The sequence below is a fragment of the Homo sapiens genome, chromosome X, assembly GCF_000001405.40.
Source record: "Homo sapiens chromosome X, GRCh38.p14 Primary Assembly".
Lineage (NCBI taxonomy): Eukaryota > Metazoa > Chordata > Mammalia > Primates > Hominidae > Homo > Homo sapiens.
In genome coordinates, this window is record NC_000023.11 from 35,990,178 (window position 1) to 36,011,746 (window position 21,569).

Below are 21,569 nucleotides of genomic sequence, written 5' to 3' on the forward strand. Positions count from 1 at the left end.
CTTCTGTTAGTTTTGTTTGAAAATTTATTATTCCAATTACCTGGATAATATTCTTCAAATAAATGTAATTATAGAGTATATTAAAACCTATGACAATAACAAATAATATTTCATATGTGAAGACAATAGGGTCTGATATAAAGAACACATAATGAGAAGTTGGAAAACTTGGATTCTAGTTCCCCTTTGGCTACTGCTTGCTTTCCTGAAAAATCGAAGAGGTGGATGATACCAACATTTCCAAAAATCAGTCTATGTTGCACTAGTTCTGTGAGGTGCTTTGTGTGAGATGAGGAGGGGGAGTCCTGACCTTAAGTAATTCTGTGAATCCCCATTTTTCGATAAGCAAAGTGCTCATTATCAGTATGTTAAGCCCCATGAGTAGACTTCTAGTAGAAACATGCCTGAATAATTTCATTTGACACCTTCTTTTCCATACTTAGGTGAGCCTTCAACTCTTTCCTTTTGCACTGCACATGGTAACACCTTGTACATAGTTGTTTAGATACTGTCTAAGATCCCTTTCAGTGATTAATCTACACAATTCTTAGTCATGGGTCTACTTTCTTAATAGAATTATCTTATTCCTTTTGCCTTACCTAGTTTGGGAGTATATTTTAAATATTCCATTCATTTTCCTTTCTCTTAAGCACTCCACAAAATCTGGTAACACTTTTTATTTTAAAAGTCACTATGAAGCTGAAAAAAATTGTGTCATGTCTTAAAGTGAAAAATATATTTTTTATAGCTTCATTACCTTCTCTTCTTTCCCCATGAGGAGAATTGACTTTACTTCCTTGTTCATAGTTAGGAGTTTTTTCAACTGTAAAGAGACCACACAAGATTGACACATTAAAAACTGCATATGTTTGTTGAAATATATTTATACATGTTTTGTGGAGCTGGCGAATGTTATGTAATCATTGTATGACTTAGACAAAATACTTAATCACCCGAAATTTTGGTTTCTTCCACTGTAAAATGTGATAGTACCATCCATTCATTCATTTAACATTTATTTATTGAGCCCCTACACTGTACTAGGCCCCATATAGGCTCTGTGTATTTAAAGATGGATAACATAAGCATAGTCTAGCTTCCCTCTGAGCACTTTCTGGACTAGTAGACCATAGTGGAAATGTAAGTAAAAATTAATCATATATCTGGTTAATACTGGGTACACAATAATATTATTATTACTATTATCCCCATTATTTATGATTACCACCAGTATCTAGATATTTTACCTAAAAATATCTAAATATCTAAATTCTAAATATCTAAATATTTAGTTACTATTACAGCCAAAATATCTAAATAAAATATCTCCTGTGATGTTATTACCCCATCTTAACTAGATTATCACAGATTTAGTTTAAATTTTGGAAAATAAAATTATTATACCTTGGGTACTTTTTCATCAAAACTAGCATATAAAGTCCTGATTTGTGATTTATTTTGCATGTTAGAACATACTGAATAAAGAATATAGGAGTATTATAATTTTTATTTTCTTTTAGTATTTATATCTTTGGTTAATATATATTCAAAATTAGAATATTTTTGTGACCAAAACAATTAAACAAAGTATTTTATTTACCATTAATTCAATTGTGTTTTTTCTTTCCTCCTCTCGTTATTAGCTTGGTCGCACCAAGGTTTTACTTTTGCAGCCAAGGATACTCTTTAGTAATTGCCCTCAAGGTTTAACAACTTGGAGGAAAGCCATTCTTCAAAATGTAGGACAAAACCATGCTTATTTCAAGGTAACATAGGATGTTGGTAATTTCTTATTTGGATCAGATGACATGGTCATAATGCTGTGAAGTTAATACTTTATTCTTCACTTTTGCTAATTTTTAGATACTTCACATTAAATTTACCTGAGTATAGTTCATCTAGTTTGTCCTCTTAATTTCTTGTAAGAACAATTTTTCTCACTACCTTCCTTAGCCTCCCTGTTTCTTCTCTTTTCCCTTTTATTCTTTCTGTTATTTGGTTTTATTGAAAAAATAGATGTTTATGTTTTAAAATATACATTATTAATTAATGTTACACTCCATATTTAGTTATATGATTTTCCTTTTCATTTCAGTCTGTAATCAGGGCCATGATGGTAGCACCTGGGAACTAGATCAAGGCCATTCTGGAGAGAGTATGTTTATGGTTGTTGCTCCTGATTTAAATGGAAAGAGGAGCAAAGTGGTGATTTTTTTTTTTAAATTGAAAAATGTAGTAAGACCGGCTTCCCCTCCCAGTAATAGTAATAGAGTTTAGCATTTGAGATTTTCCATTCAAGCTTTACATTAATGTGTTTTTTTCTGCCCAAATTAAGTCTTTAGCAAAACTGAAAAATGAGGATGATCTTTTCTACTCTGCTTCTTTAGAATTAATTCTTACCTACATAGTCTATTTGTTCCTTTAGTCCCAAAAACCTCTTGGCCATTTTTCCTTTAAATTATTCTAGCTTAAAGCATGGTAAATAGGTTTAAATTGGCCTATGAAAATCCATAGAATAAATAATTGATAAGTTACTTAGAAGTTTTCTGAAGATCAAAATGATATCTTAGACATTAGGCTTTCTGTCAAGGAAATAAACAAGAGATTACTTCATCATCCTACCTCCTCACTAACATTATTTTGAGTTTTTAGGATCAGGGAAAGACAGACTCTCAAAAGTAGTATCTAGAATGTTGTCATCTTCTCGAACAGAAATATCATCTTTATAAATTTTGCTGTCTTGAAAGCACTCCAGATAATAAACTTCAGCATCCTATTTGAATTGGAAGTTGTCACTACCAAAGGTTCTGTTTTCTTGGATAGGGTTGCAGTTTCTTGTTTTAGTCCAAACTATTTGTACCTTTGGTATTTTCAAACACTATTACAAAATCATTTTATGTCCTGTGCCTGGAGATCTTCTCTCTAGGTAGTGGCATGGAGGCTTTCCTATGAAAGCTTTGAAACTATAATTTTAAAGAATAATGTATCATTTCTGCAAATTTTCAATTACAGGTTTGTAGTCAGAGTCTTTTGCCTATCATTAATATTATTCCATCGCAAGGAATAGTTCCATTTGGGGGAATAACTGTTCTCAATATCTCCTGTAAACCCACTGTGGCAGAAAAGTTTGATACAAGAGCAAAGGTATGTCCATACATATGAGTTTTTGCACCTTACATATGTCTATGTGGGTTTGTTGGTTGTTTAACTTATCTATAATGGTAGGTATAATGCTACAAAATGGAGTACACATGTTTATTATTAGAAAACTTGTTTTAATTCTTTCTTCTATTGGGAATGGGATTTAAAGTTATGACATTAAAGAGCAATTTTCAAAAAGTATATTATTTTTCTAGAAATTAAGTTAGCTTTAAAGAAGTAGAGTTTTTGGAGATTTAAAAAAGCACTTAGCTTTATCATCTAATGAAAAATTGGATAGCAGAACTTGGAGAGGATTTGCAGAAAATATTTTTGATGAAGTTGGTAATGGAAATTTCTACTAAGTTGAAATGGATACCTTCCATCAATATGAGGCACTTTCTTATGAAATTGAAATGATAGTTGTCATTTCTGAGTTTTGACGAACCTAGATAGCCACAGAGAAGAGGGTTGCTTTTTTCAAAGCATTAGTTAGGTAGATTAGGAAAAAAATAATCAATTTTGCAATGCTAATTCTAAAGAGTCTTAATAATATGAATTATATGTAATTTCTATATGATTTTAACATCTATATTTTAGAGCACACATAAAATGTTTTACTGCTTTATGTTCTCGGAATTATGTAAATGAAAAATATTACCCTGGGCCAGGTGTGGTGGCTCACGCCTGTAATCCCAGCACTTTGGGAGGCTGAGGCAGGCAGATCACAAGGTCAGGAGATCGAGACCATCTTGGCTAACATGGTGAAACCCCATCTCTACTAAAAATACAAAAAATTAGCCGGGCATGGTGGTGGGCACCTGTAGTCCCAGCTACTCGGGAGGCTGAGGCAGGAGAATGGCATGAACCTGGGAGGCGGAGCTTGCAGTGAGCTGAGATCACATCACTGCACTCCAGCCTGGGCAACAGAGCGAGACTCCGTCTCAAAAAAAAAAAGAAAGAAAAATATTACCCTGATATTAGGCACTTCTGTAAGTGATAAATAAAATATGTAAGACAGGTATGTGTAAAATTTAATTGTAAAACTCAAAGACTAGAGTGTTCTTGGTCAATCTTATGATCAACTGTTTGTATTTACTCACATTAAAAATAATATATACACTGTTATCAGATCAAAATGAATAACTTTAAGTATATCTTACATGTTATCCCTGAATAGACCATAACAATACATGAGTAAATAATAGGTAACTTAATATAATAAAAACTGATTTCCCCAACCCTTGAACAAATCACTTAAGAATGATATCTTATTTTCATAAATAAATGTGTTGAAAATGTTTATAAATTATATATTATGATATGTTATCTGAGACTTGGGTAGAATACTTTTAAACACAATATCTGGGAAAAATAAAAAAAATGGCCACCAAAAATGTAGGTTTTACTAAACTTAATTCTCACTATATTTTAGAGGATTATGCTGGGTTTTTTTTCTAATCTTACCTTTATTAACATTATAGTATAATGAGACTCATTTATTCATTCATTCAACATTCACATTATGCACTAATCTCTTGTAAATGTTAAGGATGCAATGATGAACAAGATAACCAGGGTCTTTGATGTCAAAGAGCCTACAATCTGGTGGGTAATATAAACAACTCAATAAATAATTAAAATACACTATCATAAGTATTGTGATGAAGAAATGTTGCAGGCTAAGGAAGTACACAGGAGAGATACACAACCCAGTCTTAAATTATCAGAGACAGCTCCCTAGGGGAAGGTATATCTAAAAGACACCTGAAGTTAAGAATAAGTTAAGAATAAGCCAGATTAAAAGGATGGAAGCGGGGTGTAAGGGGAGAGGAGGAAAGGTTATTCAAGGCTAGCATGTGTTAAGGCTTGTGTGAGAGAGAGAGCTGCAATGCAGACATAAGAAACTTAAAGATTAACATGACTAGATTATACTACCAAATGGATGATAGTGGGAAAAAATGTACTTATATGACCCGTGTAAGTTTTAGATCATACAGGGCCTTATCAACATTAAGAAATCCAGGCTTCATTTTAAGAGGTAGGAGTTTTAACTACGGGGATTTCACAATGAGATTTGCATTTTTTAGAGATCACTTTGGTGGTAGAGCAGTAAGCTGGGACCAGAAAGATGGAATGCAGAGTTATTAGTCTGGTGAAGAGGTCCAGGCAAGAGAAACTGGTGAGAAACTGATAAATATATGGGGATTGGTGATTGAAAAGGGGTCCCATGTAAATAAAATGGGTATGTCAAGAGTGAGGCAGATGGTGGCAACATTTAGAGAGAAAGAGATCAGAGTGTGAGTAACACCCTATTAGAGGAAAACGTTTGCTTGAATTGGAGGCATCTTTTGATTGTAGAGATGTCTAGTAAAGAGGCAGCCACATATATATACTGGTCTGAAGGCTAACGATTCATCATAGAGATGAAAGAGAATGTTTCTACTGTTGCTCTATGGGTCCAGATGTGTGTAAGTGAACCAAATATATAATTGAGAAGTTGGAATGATAAAAGTTGAAAGAAATTGAATAAAGGAAAATATAGAGGAGAAAGGTGAATTGGGGTTGATTGGGAGAATATTACATACACATCACAGGCTTCAAAGTCTCTTCGATATGTGACATCCAGGAACTGTTCTCTCTGAAAATGAGTGAGAACGCAAGGGAGAGAGGGAGTTGTAAAAATGAGACAGATGAATGAATTTATGGTTTCAGAGGTTGTGCATTTATGAGGAGTGATGTTGTCCAGGGTGTAGTTTAAGTCTCTAGAGATGAAAATGTCAAGAGACCAGTGGTCTTGGGTGGTGAATAAGCTATGACAGCCAGGAGTTTTGGATGAATAAGGAATGATTGGGAGGTGAGTAAAAGGCAGCCATAGGGAGTTGGGACTTGTGTATGGGGTTTATTAATGAAGAACACATCAATTTGTAATTTTCTCTGAAGCATTAAGTTATGCTTCTTTTGATTTTAGTCAAATATGTTTTTTATGTATTATATACTCTGAATAAAATGTGGCAATCATATAGCATTATGAATATAGCTACTTTAATAAGGCTATCTAGCTGGCATATTGATTTTCCCAGTAATTCTGAAAAATGGTATTTTGTGGTTTCTTTGCATATAAACAGTATCAGTGATTGTGGAAGAGTGAAATACACTCGCTTTACTTTCTTAGATATAATATACATTTAAATTTAAATCTAGACCTTGACTCTTTCCTGTGCTTATACAGACAGGGTTTCCAAGGAATTATAGGTTTACACTTCTGAGACTTTGCTTGAGCAACTATATGCTCAGATACTCTATAGCTCTTATTTTGTAGGAATTATACAACTAAATTCTTAATTTGCTATTTTAATTTTCTTGAAAGCAATAAAATGTTCAGGCAGCCCTTAGTTTAGCTGCTGCTGCTTTCAAGTTTGTGATCTCATGAAAAAGACAAAATACTTGGCCTCTGCAAGAGTCAGTTTCCTCAGTTTAAAATTAGGAGTATTAACAGTCGTTATCTAATAGAATACTGAGCACTAAAAAGGATTTCACTGTACTTGACCCATATACACAGCAATTTTTAGTTAGTCTCATTACTATTATGGTTGTTGTGCATATTTGTATCTTTCTAGGGGAAGATATATACTGCAACCATTCTCCTGTTGTTTTTTAAAAATTTTGAATAATGCTTTGAAATTAGATAAATAAAAATTGTACTGCAAGGAGTGGCAATAAAGTTTAGTCAAATAGGTAGAACTCTGCTTTCAAATTCACAAACCATCAGCTAATCACATTTATGGTGGTTCTAAGGGGTCAAACACTCACTTAGGAGTATCAATTCTGCAAAACAAGAAATGTGATGACAATTACCAGAAAAAATCTTGTGCATTTATAATATGTTACTATTATTTAAATGAAAAAAGTTATATACATGCCAGGTAATACTTCAGCAACTTATGATTATATTTTAATGTGGTTTCTACAAAGTTTTTATTTCTCCTAAATAAGGTTTCTATTCGTCATGCGAATGTTATAGACCTTAGGATTGGTGGATCTGCTGAAATTGCTGATGTAGAAATCAATCCTGTGAGTATGTTACTTATTTGTGTGATGAAACTCTGAGTGTGGTGATTTTTATTTGTTATGTGTTTCTAGTTAGCCCATTTATGTTAAAAATATTTTCCAATGTATAATTTTTAAAAATTACTATATACAAAGTTAAAAATTAATAAAAATTAATATATGTCATATAAATGTAAGTGTTGAAACAGAATATTGAATGAAGGTTTAAGAATTTACCACTGAATGTAAGGATCAGAACACTACCAGTACCATTAAAATCATCTTCATTATGGTCCTGTCCCTTATAAGAGATAACCACTTGCCTAAAATGACACCACATAAATATGAATATGAATGCTTTCATTGTTGATTATTTAGTTTGTTTGTTTTTGAGCTTTATAACAAAGATGTACTATTTGTAGCCTTTGGTGAGTTACTTTTACTTAAATATTGTGTTTTCAACATTCACCTAAATTGTGTGTAATGGTATGTTAATCATTGTCATACTGCATAATAGTTATTTGTGTAGACATACTATAATTTACATGATCATTCAGTTGTTCATCCCAATAGGTATTTCTGGGTTTTTTTTAAACACAAAAACTGTAGCTGTGAACATTTATATGCTTATCTTCTGAGGTACACATACAAGAGGTTCTCTCGGAATGGAGTTATTGAGACATAGAGTTATGAGTGTGTTTAACTTCACAAGACTATTCCTAAAATGTCCTAATTTCCATTGCTTCAAATTCTATTATTCTACAAGTTATATTGTCAGATTTAAATTTTGCCAATCTATTGAGTATAAAATGATACCTCACTGTGGTATTGATTTTCATTTTCTGAACTAGAATCACATTTATTTTTGCATTATTGTATGTACCCTGAAAAAATTTTGTTCTATAATTGATAGAGTGCACACACACAGACAAACACATACACCACTTTTTTGTTGTTGTTCTTGCCAGCGCTTTAGTGTTTAGATCTGGACTTACCTATTCAAAGAAACTTTCCTTGATTCTTCAAAGTAGGGCCCCCTCATTGTGACATTTATAAGGTATTACAGAAATCTTATACCCTGGGAACATCACCATCAGAGCAGTTGTCATATTATTTTGGGGCTATTTGTACTTTTGTTTTTTCTCCCACTAGTACTGTTAACATCTACCACCATACTGGTGTGGAGCTAAATTGAGCAGAAATTGATGATAAAGAGGTCAGCTTGCTGCCTCAGGTAGGGGGCTCACTGCTAGTCTGCATTTAAATGGCATCACCAAAATTCCAGTGTATGGCTTTAACTTATACTTTTATAACCTTTCTTTATTCAGTGGTGAAGGCATAAGTCCAGGTAGACTGACAAATACTAAGTTAGCTTGTCCAAGGCTGTGGTGATTCCTGGAGGTTAAACTCTGTAGTATCCAGAGTGTTTTTTGCATTACTATGGCATCCTTCCTTGAAAAATATTAGATAATATTGAGTCTTTTATCACTTTCTTTTCTCATCCTAAAGTCATTTTGGGCATGCTTTGCATGTTATGGTACAACTGAATAATTTATAGGACTTTAATATATTTTATCAATATTCCCTTATAGCATTTTAGACATAGCTGACTTTAAAAAATAATATTCACACATCACTAGATATTTTTAGCTATACATTTATTAACTATACAGTAATGGCTAAGGCATTGACTATGTGTCTTAATAACAATTAGGACATTTTACTCAAATGAGCACATATACAATGCTCATTTGCATATATGCTCATTTGAATGGGATAACAAGAGTGATTATTTTTACATATACAAAACATCAAACTTTCATTTTCCATTTTGGATTTTACAAATTTTACATATACAACTGCGTTGACATTTTAAATGAAACAAATAGCCAGTCTACTTTCATACGGAATTCTCCTCAATATTAGGATGCTGTTGTCTCGATCTCCTTTAAATGTTGTATGTAATTCTATCACTAAGAAACTCCATGGTATTTTAGTAACTCTACTACAAGGAGGAATTCTAAAGAGTTTTGTGATATAAGCACATGCCTTGTGTGTGAGCTACAGCTCAGATACACTTAATAAACATTCCTTGTTTATTTAAGGTAGATGTTGGATAGGTGCTAGGGATACAAAAATGAATCACGCTAAGGTCCAGTAGAAGAGACAGATAAGTAAATAAATACATAAATAAGTTATGTGATATCATAATATAAGTAAATAAAAGAAACAGAGTTGGTCCTGAGCACAGCATGATTAATTGTGGTTTATCCATCTGGGGTTTGAAGGATGTGTAATATTTTATTAGGCAATTGCAAGTTACAGAAAGGCTTTCCTGATAGAAGGGGCACCAAAAGGGTGAAGACACAGAAGGGTGAAGCATCAGGTGTTGGTTGGAAATACCAAGTCATACAGCTTGCTGAAATATTAAGTTATCACTTAATAGAGTGGAGCTAGTTGAAGCTGGAACATGAGGCAGCAGAAGACCATGGTGAACTTTATGAGCCCTGCTAATGAGCTTGGACATGGTCCTGTAGATTGTGAGAAACCATCAAATTTTAAAACAAGAAGCGATATGATCAAATTCTTAATTAGTTTAAATATGGCTTCATTATGAAGGGGAGAGTTTGAGAAAAGTAAAAATCTAGAAACTAAATGAAAAGTGATGATTTACTAATTTCATACAGTTACAATATGGACAAGAGGTGAAGAAAGGGGAAGAATTAATAGGATTTATTAACTTATTACATGTAGGAGGCATAGAGGAGGTGGGGGAGAGGAAGGAAAATGTGACAAATTTTTATAGGGTTCTGCTTTGTAGTTAATAATTTCCTTGATAAATATAATATTGCAAGTTTTAGTTTACATTTTCATAAACTATTCTATTTTCTAATTATTTTTATTTTTTAAATTTTAGGATGTATTTAATTTCAGTGGCGCCTATATTGGTGGTACCCAGATTATTCCATTTGTAATAAAAAACAAAGGTATAACACGTGCCAGAGTGGAGTTTAATCTAAAAGACTTTCCGGATTTTTCAATGGATCTTAAAGACAAATCAGGTATATATTTTGTATATAATGGTATTACTGTAAAAGGAAAACAGTTTTAAATTGCCCTGTGGTATAATTTCTAAAACTAATTCAATCAAGGGAAGTTCTTCTTAAATGTTTTTAATGACCACTGCATGTTTTTCTTACACTCTGTAACTCATCATGGTTTTATTTGTAGAAATACATCATTATTAATATCAAAACACTTTGGTAATACATGAAACGTAACCGTTCTTATTAGTGTGTTAAATATGCTAAGTTAAGTATGTTATATATAAGTATATGCCTTAAATGAACATAAAATTATGAATCGCTTGTTTTAATTGCTCAATAATTTTAGATAAATGTCTTTGGGGAGCTATCTCTATATGTTTACTCATGTATTAGATATCTTGATGTTAAATTAGATTTAAACAAAATACGCATTTTTGTAAGTTTACTCCATAGGTTGTCAAAATAAGACCTATGAGCCAAATATGAGCCATCACCTGTTTTTATAAATAAGGTTTTATTAGAACACGCACAGACCCATTTGTTTGTATAATGCTTATGGCTGCTTTTATGCTATACTGGCAGAGTTGAAAAGCTGTGATAGGAACCATATGTCTCACAAAGCTTAAAATATTTACTATCTGGATTCTTACAGAAGGTTTCCTAATCATTGGTTTAGTCATTTATTATTCATTAAATATTTGTTGAATCCCAATTACAGGCAAGATAGTAGCGTTTGAGTCCATACAAATAAGTAAGACATCTTACATATCCTCAAAAAGTGAAAAGTAAGTATATCAGTGAGGTAATGGATATGCATTTGTATTACTTACGGACTCTTTGAGACATCAAAGGAGATCTGACTCTTCCCTGATCAATTTTCACTGGAAAGGGAGTCTCCTAGCTGTTCCGGGACCTAAGATTTAGTTAATTACTTGACCTTGCCCTTTATTCCTATTTATATTCATCTGAGTATGACTATAACATGCTTCTTGAACTTTGGAGTTATTTTTTAATGAGTTTACTGTCACTGTTTTGCCAATTGAATGTATATTTGTTCCATGTATAGATATCAATTTTGCTAATTAGAATCTTGGTATTTAGAACAATTCTTTACTGAGCATCTTCACATAGCCCTGCACAAATATTTTAGAAATTGATTTTTGATTGTTATGAATATGTGTACTTTTTCACCTCTTACAGAAGAATTTAAAGACCCTGCAGTTCCTTATATATATTCTTTGGAATTAGAGGAAAATACATCTCTGGAATGTAGCATAACATTTTCTCCCAAAGAAGTAAGTTCAGTTTTCTATTCCTCATATTACTGCAGTTATGGGTATTCCGAACCAAAAACCTATTAAAGATCACCCAAGATCTATCTGTGGAGGGTTTTTCTTTCTGACTTGTAAGCATGCCTGGGTATACCTTAATTCAGTAAAACGATTGCTGGAGGGTTTGGCTCATGCTGCAGAGTGCCTCAAGAGGAGTGGAGGGCATGTACAGGGGACCTATGATTGTGTGGTCTTTGTTATACTATCTAGAAAATTCAAGATATTACACATTTTGAAGGAGAGGAAAGTTATATTCCAGGCAGTTGGTGCTTTGTACTTATATTTGAGTGGTGTATGCTCTGTGAACCACTACCTGAAATTGTCAAAGACATATTGTGAAGATTTAAGAGGAGTTGCTATGATATTGGCTCCTTTTATATTGTACCCCTTGATGTTTAGTGATTTAAAAACAAGAGCAAACAAACAGACAAAAAACCTATTCTGAAATGTGCCCAGAAGGAAGGGAGACCACTGGTCAGGTTTCAGGAGCCAACTCTAGCAGGCTTTTGCTTCACAGATTCTCTAACAGAAGTGCCCAACGAGAGAGCTTCTCTCTACGCATGATATGAAAGTGCATATAGCCCTATAATCCCAGCACTTTGGGAGGCCGATGCCAGCGGATCACCTGAGGTCAGGAGTTTGAGACCAGCCTGACCAACATGGCAAAACCCCATCTCTACTAAAAGTACAAAAATTAGTGTGGTGGCAGGCGCCTGTAATCCCAGCTACTCAGGAGGCTGAGGCAGGAGAGTCGCTTGAACCTGGGAGGCAGAGGTTGCAATGAGCCAAGATCGCGCCATTGCACTCCAGCCTGGGCAACAAGAGCGAGATTTCGTCTCAAAAAACCAACCAACCAACCAACAAACAAACAAAAAACTGCATATTAGTGTATCCTTCCAAGCAAGAATCAAACTTCTATGTGGCAATCAGAGTATAAGATTCTTATGTCAAAACTTTTTTTTAATACACCAACATAACTAAATTGATTCTGCTCAATAGGTATAGATTAGAATTAAGAGAAAATAACTAATACACAATAAAATTGTATTGAATGCTACTAAATGCTATCTTTAATAATCTAATTTTTGGTAATGTTATTTTTACTGAGATTAAATTTTATTTCAGGAAAAATGTAAGCTGTTATTTGGCTTTCAGATGGAAAAAATAAAGTTTGAGGATGAGTTTGAATATTAGAAAATGATAAAGATTAATTTTGCTATTTTGAAGTTCAGTACTTCAGTTGAGATAAGATAATGTTGAATAGAAAAACATATTTGTCTTGTTCCTGAAAGCATGTATCTTACACCTTTAAATATAAGGTTAGCAACAGTTATCTTTTTTAAAAAATTTCCTTTATTAGGTTGAGGAAGTTTCCTTTTATAGTTTATTGAGTATTTTGATTTTGAAAGACCTGGATTTTGTTAATTTTATTATCCACTTTGATGGTCACGTTTTTGTCCTTTATTATATTAATATAGTATATTATATTGATTGATTTTTTTAATGTTAAACCAACCTTGCATTGTGGAATAAATCTCACTAGATCATAAGATATAATTCTTTTTATATATTGCTGAATCCAATTCCCTAGTACTTTGATGAAGGCTTTTGCATCTATACTTGTAAGGAACATTGGTCTGTAGTTTGTTAGCCTTATTGTTTTTTTTTTTCTTCTGATACCTTTGTTTTGAATATCAGGCTAATATTGGCTTCTTAGAATGAATTATAGAGTGGTGTCTCCACTTCTATTTTGGCAGAATTTGTGAAGGACTGAATTAATTATTTAAATTAGTCTTATAATTCATCATTGAAGTCATCTAGTCCTCAGCATTTTTTTTTAAAAAATATTAATTTTAAACTAGGTATTGAAGGAACACACCTCAAAATAATAAGAGCCATCTATGACAAACCCACAGCCAACATCATACTGAATGGGCAAAAGCTGGAAGTGTGACCCTTGACAACCAGCAAAGACAAGGATGCTCTCTCTCACTACTCCTATTCAACTTAGTATTATAAGTCCTGGCCAGAGCAATCAGGCAAGAGAAAAAAATAAAGGGCATCTAAATAGGAAGTCAAATTATCCCTGTTTTCAGACGACATGATTCTATATATAGAAAATCACATAGTCTCAGCCCAAAAGCTCCTTAAGCTGATAAACAACTTTAGCAAAGCTGGAGGATACAAAGTCAGGGTACAAATCACTAGCATTTCTTTCTTTTTCTTTTTTTTTTTTTTTTTTTTTTTTAGATGGAGCCTCACTCTGTCACCCAGGTTGGAGTGCAGTGGTGCGATCTCAGCTCACTGCAACCTCCACCTCCCCGATTCAAGTGATTCTCCTACCTCAGCTTCCCGAGTAGCTGGGAGTACAGGCATGTGCCACCACACCCGGCTAATTTTTGTATATTTTTTTAGTAGAGATGGGGTTTTGCTATATTAGCCAGGCTGGTCTCGAATTCCTGACCTCAGGTAATCTGCCCACCATGGCGTCCCAAAATGCTGGGATTACAGGCGTGAGCCACTGCACCAGACCAAAAACCACTAGAATTTTTATACACCAACGACCAAGCCAAGAGCCAAATCAGGAAGGCAATTTAATTCACAATTGCTACAAAAGAATAAAATATCTAAGAATATTGCTAACCAGGGAGGTATATTTCTTCCCAAAAGAAGGGAAATGTGTATTCATGTCCATACAAAGACTTTTATGTGAATGCTCATAGCAGCATTATTCACAATAGCTTAAAAGTAGAAACAACCCAAATGTCCATCACCTGATAAATGGATGAACACAATGTGGTATATCCATACTCTATAATATTATTTGGCAGTATAAAGGAACAAATTGCTAATATGTCCTGCTAGATGAATAAACCACAAAAATGTTATTTTAAGTGAATGCAACTAGATAAAAGAGAGTACATTTTTTATGATTCCATTTATGTGAGATTTCCAAAAGAGACAATCTATAGAGTAGATCAGTGGTTACCTGGAGTTAGGCAAATTGTCATGAAGAAGCTCTTGGGGTTGATGGAAACATTCTAAAACTTAATTACGGTGATGATTGCACAATTCTGTAAATTTACTAAAAACCATTGAATTGTACCCTTTTGGTGAAATATATCTCAATACAGCTGTTAGAACTGTAAAAAAATTATTAATGTAATCTGTTTGCTGTTATAGGTCTGTATTTATAAAATGTTCTGTTTCTTCTTGAGAAATTTCATTTAAGTTACCTAATTTATTGATATATATGTGTTAATGGTTTTTTTTTTATTTCTGTAAGGTAGGTAATAATTTAGTTCGTTCTTTCATTCCAGATTTTATAAAATTGAGCCATCTCTCTTTTTATCTTGGTCAGCATATCTAAAGTTTTGTCTGTTTTGATATTTTCAAGATCCAACTTTTGGTATTTCTGATTTGCTGTATTATTTTTGATTCTTTATTTCATTCATTTCCACTTTATCTTTATTATTCATTTTTTTCTGTTTGATTTGATCTTCTATTCTTATTTTTAAGTGTGAAATGTTAGGGCATTGATTTGAGATATTTCACTTTTTAAATATAGGTTTTATGGCTACATACTTTCCTCTAAATACTGTTTTACATTTACCCCAAAAGTTTTGATATGTTTTATTTTCAGTTTTACTCTTCAAAATATTTTGCAATTTCCCACATAATTTATTTTTCACCTATTAGTTATTTGGTGTGTCTCGTTTAATTTCCACATATTTGTGCATTTACCTAGTTTATCTTATTGATTTCTAATATAATTCCCTTATAGTTAGAGAACACACATTAGTTCATTTAAATCACTTTAAATTTATTGCAGCTTGTTTCATGACACTCTATGTAGGTTATTTAACTATGTTGCAGTAAGTCTAAAACAACTAATGATTACATCTGGATGTGTATGTGTATGTTTGTGTGTGTGCACATGTGTGCAATGGTGAAATGAGGGGAATGCTCATTATTTTAAAAATAAACTTTGTAAGATTATTTTTTCAAATTTGTATTCTTATTATTATGATTTTTAAAAACCCTCTAAATAAAAAGAAACTAAGTAATTCTTTTCTCACAAGTTAGTATTCTGATAAATTAAGGTATGTCATTCACCTATATAATGTTTATATCTCACATGTACATAGAAGTATGCAGACATACACACACACATACACACACACACACAATTTCAACAAGAAAAAACCTAAATGTTCTGCAGTAATTTATAGATTTTTAAAAATTATTTTAAGGCCAAGTTTATGTATTTTTCTAATAAGTCTATATTGTGATTTTATATTTTCATATAATTGAAATGTATATAAAACATTTTACTTAAGGATCATTGAAAATTAGAAAAATCTATCATGCAATTTAAGTATCTTACATGACTTTTTTGGAGAATGTATTATATATAATATATTTAGACAATAGTTCACCAACACTGTCAGCAATTTAAAAAGTTCTAAGTATTTCTTAATGTTTAGGATTCTAGAAATTGATCATAAAATTAAAATTAATTATATATATTTAAATTTCTGTGAAGTGCCACACTTTGCTTAGATTCTGAATCATTCTACGTTAACTGGGTATTTTAAAAAGAAGATTTACTTAGTGTATTGGAGTGTAATTCACTTCAACAATGAGAAGAACATATCAACTCCTGCAGAGACAGCACACCCTTTGAGAATTTATTCTATAAATCTGTGCCAGTAAGGCAGATTGATTATCTGGTTTCCAGTCATTTCAAATGTCCTCCACTATATTTATTGCTAGGTGTAAGTTGTCCATCTTTGTGCATGTGTCAAAATGTAAATAGCAAATTGATGCTCTCTTGGTTGACCTATGTAGCAGGAAAATGTGAAATCAACAATACATGATTGATTTATTGTTAGTTGTAAACCTTCCTTTCCTACACTGCACCAGGTTTGAGCACAACCTGAAGTGCTAGTAGTCAAATGCAGTTGTATTTGGCATTTTCAAATGGATTTGTTTATTTTCTGTAAGTCACTCAAGCTCCTCCTTTTCTTGTGGGCTACTAACGTGTCTTCTTGGTCAATATATGGAATTGTACTTCCTATATGGTAGTCAGTACCTACATATGGCTATTTGAATTAAAGCTTAAATTTATTAAAATTAAGCCCAACAGAAATGTTGTTTCTTTATCACAATACCTACATTTCTCATTCTGTAGATTCACACGTGGCTATTGTACAATGCAGAGCATTTTCTTCATGACAGAGTTTCACTGGACAGCACTAGTATAGATCTTTCCCTATTATTACTCCTATTTTTCCTGCTGCTATGACCCAGGTTCTGCCCTGAAGCATAGGCTGGTTCATCTTCAGTGCCTTAGTTACTCTGCAGCTCTTTGCAACTTTCATCTTTGTTGCTCTGTATTTTCCCTGCAGTTTTTGAATGTGAGGGAGAATTGTTCATGCTTTTTATTTTTCCCACTAGCCTTGATCTGCGATTTAAGGATATGCAGAACCTTGGGTAAACCTTTCATAACGATTATTCTAGATTTACAATCATTCTTACGGGAAGCTAAGAATAATTCCTCAAGGATTAAAGGAAAGGACATTTGAATGACACCTGCTCCTTTTCAATTCATAAACATGTCTGTCTACCAACACTGGACTGGGTACTGAAATCTGACTTCATTAGAATATCCTTTTCAATTTGAGGTATTCCTGTCTTTGAATGACAACATCTGGGAAATCACTTAAAATATCACACATCACAAAACGTTCAAAGTTTTCTTTCCTCATTGAATACCTCAGTGATTTTATAATGATAGGGCTCGTCTTTTCTTTCAATGTGTCATTTAGTTTCTGTGTAAAAGATAAGTCTTGTATTCTTGCAGTTTTGTTGAAGGGAGAAGACTTCCATGGGCAAAGGAATCATGGAACCTCCTAATTTGGCATTCTGTGTAATTATAGACCTACTTTGGATAAAAACATATTTTATGCAAATTGTGTGTGAAGATGTCAGTTAAGAGAAGACAAGTCCAGTATGACTTTTCACCTATACCTACTTGATAATCAGAGAAGGCAGGGATTAACCCTTAGCCTTGTGAATTCACCACACAGTTTTAGAAAAATTGTATGTTTCAGGAGGGAGAAAGGCTTCATACTTAAAAAAGACAGTTAAGGGCTGAGATGAGTACATTGAATTATCTCGATAATTACCAACAGTCATTATCATTGACAGTCACCAACAGTCATCAACAAAGACAGCATCAGACATTTTAAAATAGAGCCCTCAGTCTGGTCCTGTGTTAAACCTGTCCCATAACTTCAGCTTTCCACTCCTATCATCCCTAACTTTGGGACCCAGCACTAGACTCGAAGACAGACAGTGAAGACTCAAGCCCCAGTAACTGTCGATTCAATTCATCATGACTCAGATTCCTCTTTATTTCAGTCATTCTCCAAAATTGGAGCATCCTGTGAATAGCTTCTCTTCCCTGTCAGCTCTGATTCCCCTCACACTTAGCTTCCCTTCCCTTTTTCTCTGCCCTCTAGTGTCCCTACGCTTCTATAAGTCCTCTGTATTTTTCTGGGCTTCCTTTTTCTTCATGATTTCTTCTCATTGGGAACCTGGCTATCTCAATAGCACTGTTTTTTAAAATAGCATTTCCTATGAATCTTGCTGTGGGTCTAGAAGTGATCCTTTCTGGAGGCCTTGTTCCCTGGGGTGATTTTTCTAGAGGGTCCTTATCTGTTAAAAATGCCTGCTTCTGGCTGGGTATGGTGGCTCATGCCTGTAATCCTAGCACTTTGGGAGGTCGAGGTGGGAAGATTACCTGAGGTCAGGAGTTCCAGACTAGCCTGGCCAACATGGTGAAACCCTGTCTCTACTAAAAATACAAAAAATAGCCGGGCATGGTGATGCTCACCTGTAATCTCAGCTACTAGGGAGGCTGAGGCAGGAGAATCGCTTGAACCCAGGAGGAGGAGGCTGCAGTGAGCCGAGATCACACCACTGCACTCCAGCCTGAGTGACAGAGTGAGACTCTGTCTCAAAAGAATAAATAAATAAATAAATAAAATAAATAATTTTAAAAAGCCTGCTTCTTTGAACTTTGTATTGTGTGGCTTTGCCAGTTCCCCTCTGTGAAATCTCTGGTGAGTGGTCTCTTGTGAATAGTCATCTCCAGACATGCTCCTGGTCACCGCCAGCTAGACTCATAGTATATCCGGTACCCTACTCATCTCATTTTCTGAGTGATTTCAGTATCCAAATGGAGGTTTATCCAGAACCCTGGCCTCACACTTCCTTTTTCTTCACATTTCTGTTGATGTGGAAGAAACTAAGTGACACATTGAAAGAAAAGATGGGTCCTATCATTATAATTTTCCTTTTCTTCACATTTCCAGTCCCCTCAGCTTCTGTTAAAGACTAATGTCCATCCAGCAATCAGATGAAGATGACAGTTTGCGAAACATACTCTTTGGCAGTATTTGACTTTAAAATATGAGTCCATATTATTAATATATAAAAAAGCCTTAAAAATAAAATAATAGCCTAAAATAATAGTAATATTATAATATGTATGATATTAATAATCAAATTAAGAAAAAAAGCAGATGAACCAGAAGTGGAAAAATAAAAATGAGACACAAAATATAACCAGCTGCTGATGATTAAATGCTAAGATTCCAGGGAAATAAGATCAAGCAAAGTTGTTGTTGTTTTTTCTTATCTATGAAATATCAAAACAGGTTGTATTTGAACATGAAATACTACATCTTTATGCAATTTATTCCTTGATGTCTGCAAGCTAGTGCCACTGCAGAAATAGATTATCATGGGAATGAATTGCTTGCTGTTTTGACCAAAGAGTTGAAACCTCAGGAAAATAACATATGAGCAGTATTTTAGGCTTCTATAATTTGGTTATAAGAATGGACTGTACATAAGATTCTATGACAGAAAATGGAATTGGCAGTGGTACAGCCAGTTAAAGTTAAATAAAAATAGAAACCCAAGTGTTTTGCCTATTAGGGCAATATGAATGACTAGAGCTGAACATATGCACTTTATAATATTCAGCTCCTCATTTTATTTAAAACTGTTTAGATTGTCAGCACTGAGTTTATGAGTATAGCACAGTACTAGATATATGTACCTCTGAACCCATCAATGCTTGTTGTCATGACCTTGGAGGTTTTGGCATGTGAGAAGTACTATTATTCTTCCCTTTTCACATTTAAAATATTCACATTCTTGCCTGTTTTCTACCTCCCACCTCTAGAAGTTTACCAAGGTACCATGGAATAACAGGGTCGACCATCTTAATATTTTTTAAACATAAATAATGTAAGGTTTTGGTAAAAAAAAATCAACACAAAGTTTAAAAACGTCATTAGAAAAAATGAATTTTTATTTTAAATTATCTGTAATGTAACTTGAAATGCAATAAGAATTTTCTCATACATATGTAAATATTTTAGCAGTGATATTACTTCCGTAGCATTTTCAGCTTTAGTATAGATCAATTTTATTTTTATCAATTTAAATTTCTAATAAATTATGTAATTTATAATTTTATTTTCAAAATTGAGATTTGGATCTTGAGCCATAAGAATGGTATTCTCTTTGAATTAACCCTTTTTTATATGGTTGATAGTAATGTCCATAATCTCATCTTTTATTTTAGTTATTCATGTCTCCTCTCATTTGTTTACTGTCAGACTAGTTTAAAGTTTTGTCGTTTTTTTTTTTTTGAGATGGAGTCTCGCTCTGTTGCCCAGGCTGGAGTGCAGTGGCATGATCTCGGCTCACTGCAAGCTCCGCCTCCCGGGTTCACACCATTCTGCCACCTCAGCCTCCCGAGTAGCTGGGACTACAGGCACCCGCCACCATGCCTGGCTAATTTTTTTGTATTTTTAGTAGAGATGGGGTTTCACTGTGTTAACCAGGATGGTCTCGATCTCCTGACCTCGTGATCCAACCATCTTGGCCTCCCAAAGTGTTTTGTCATTTTTATAATATTTTTAAACAACCAACTTTTTGTTTATTGATTGTTATGATTTCTCTGTTGATATTCTCGTTTCGTGTATACATTATTTTCATGACATTCTTTTGTTCTTTTCTATGGTTTCCTTTAGTTCTATGAACGTATTTAAGACAGTGGCTTTAAAGTCTTTTTCTAATAAGTCCTATGGCTGGGATTTCTTCATAATCTTTTGTTTTGTTTTGTTGGTTATTGAATACTGGACATTTGAATATTATAATTTGGTAACTCTGTACATCAGATTATCCTCCTTTCTCTGGGTTTACTCTTCTTGCTTATTGAAGGCTGTAGTCATCCATTTGTTTATTGACTTTTCAAAACTATTATTGCAAAGAATACATTCTTTGCTATGCATGGTCACTGAAGTGTCTGTTCCTTTAGCTGGTGTTGAGTAGTGTTTTGAGATATATTTCCTTGAATGCCAGGAACTAAAATAATCAGACACATAAACAAAAACACCTATCATAGTCTTTTTGGATAGAGTGTCCTGAGGCACTTCTTCAGCAGTTAGCGAGGTTGTTTACAACAATTTCTTAGTTTTTACTTACCACTTGCACTTAGCCTAGAGTCAGACAAAGATGAAAGTTTAACATCTTCTCAGGTATTTTCTGAGCACATGTCCTACTCTGAGTGTCCTTGATGCTTTCTAAATTCTCCAGGGCACTTTTAAATGCCTTAATTTCTCCAAAAGCTCTCCTACTTTTATTTCCAGACTTTAGGTAGCGTTTGCATGTCTCAACCATAATATTCTGTCAGGTGGCTTTGGGTTTTTTGTTTATCTTACAATATTTTTTAACAATTTCACTGCTTTTCTGCCTTGAGTGAGTTCAAAGATAGGCAAAACATGCCAAGCACATTGCATCAGTCCTTCATGTACCCCCAGGAAGGTTAGAAGAGATAAACACAGTAATTTCTGAATGAAGTCTGTTTTGTTTCATCAAAAACCAGGTATCTTTGTTTAAGTTCCTTGTAGATTGTGGG

The 21,569-nt window shown here is 33.5% G+C and overlaps 1 protein-coding gene across 3 annotated transcripts in view; it reads left to right on the forward strand.

The window, feature by feature from the left end:
• Positions 1-21,569, forward strand: part of CFAP47 (cilia and flagella associated protein 47) — a 465,584-nt gene that overhangs the window by 70,444 nt on the left and 373,571 nt on the right. For all 3 annotated transcript variants that reach the window (NM_001304548.2, XM_017029452.2, XM_017029453.2), the window contains exons 17-21: positions 1,644-1,766; positions 3,013-3,144; positions 7,135-7,212; positions 10,106-10,250; positions 11,436-11,530. In NM_001304548.2, the coding sequence (NP_001291477.1) occupies positions 1,644-1,766; positions 3,013-3,144; positions 7,135-7,212; positions 10,106-10,250; positions 11,436-11,530 (573 nt within the window). The remainder of the gene's footprint in view (positions 1-1,643; positions 1,767-3,012; positions 3,145-7,134; positions 7,213-10,105; positions 10,251-11,435; positions 11,531-21,569) is intronic.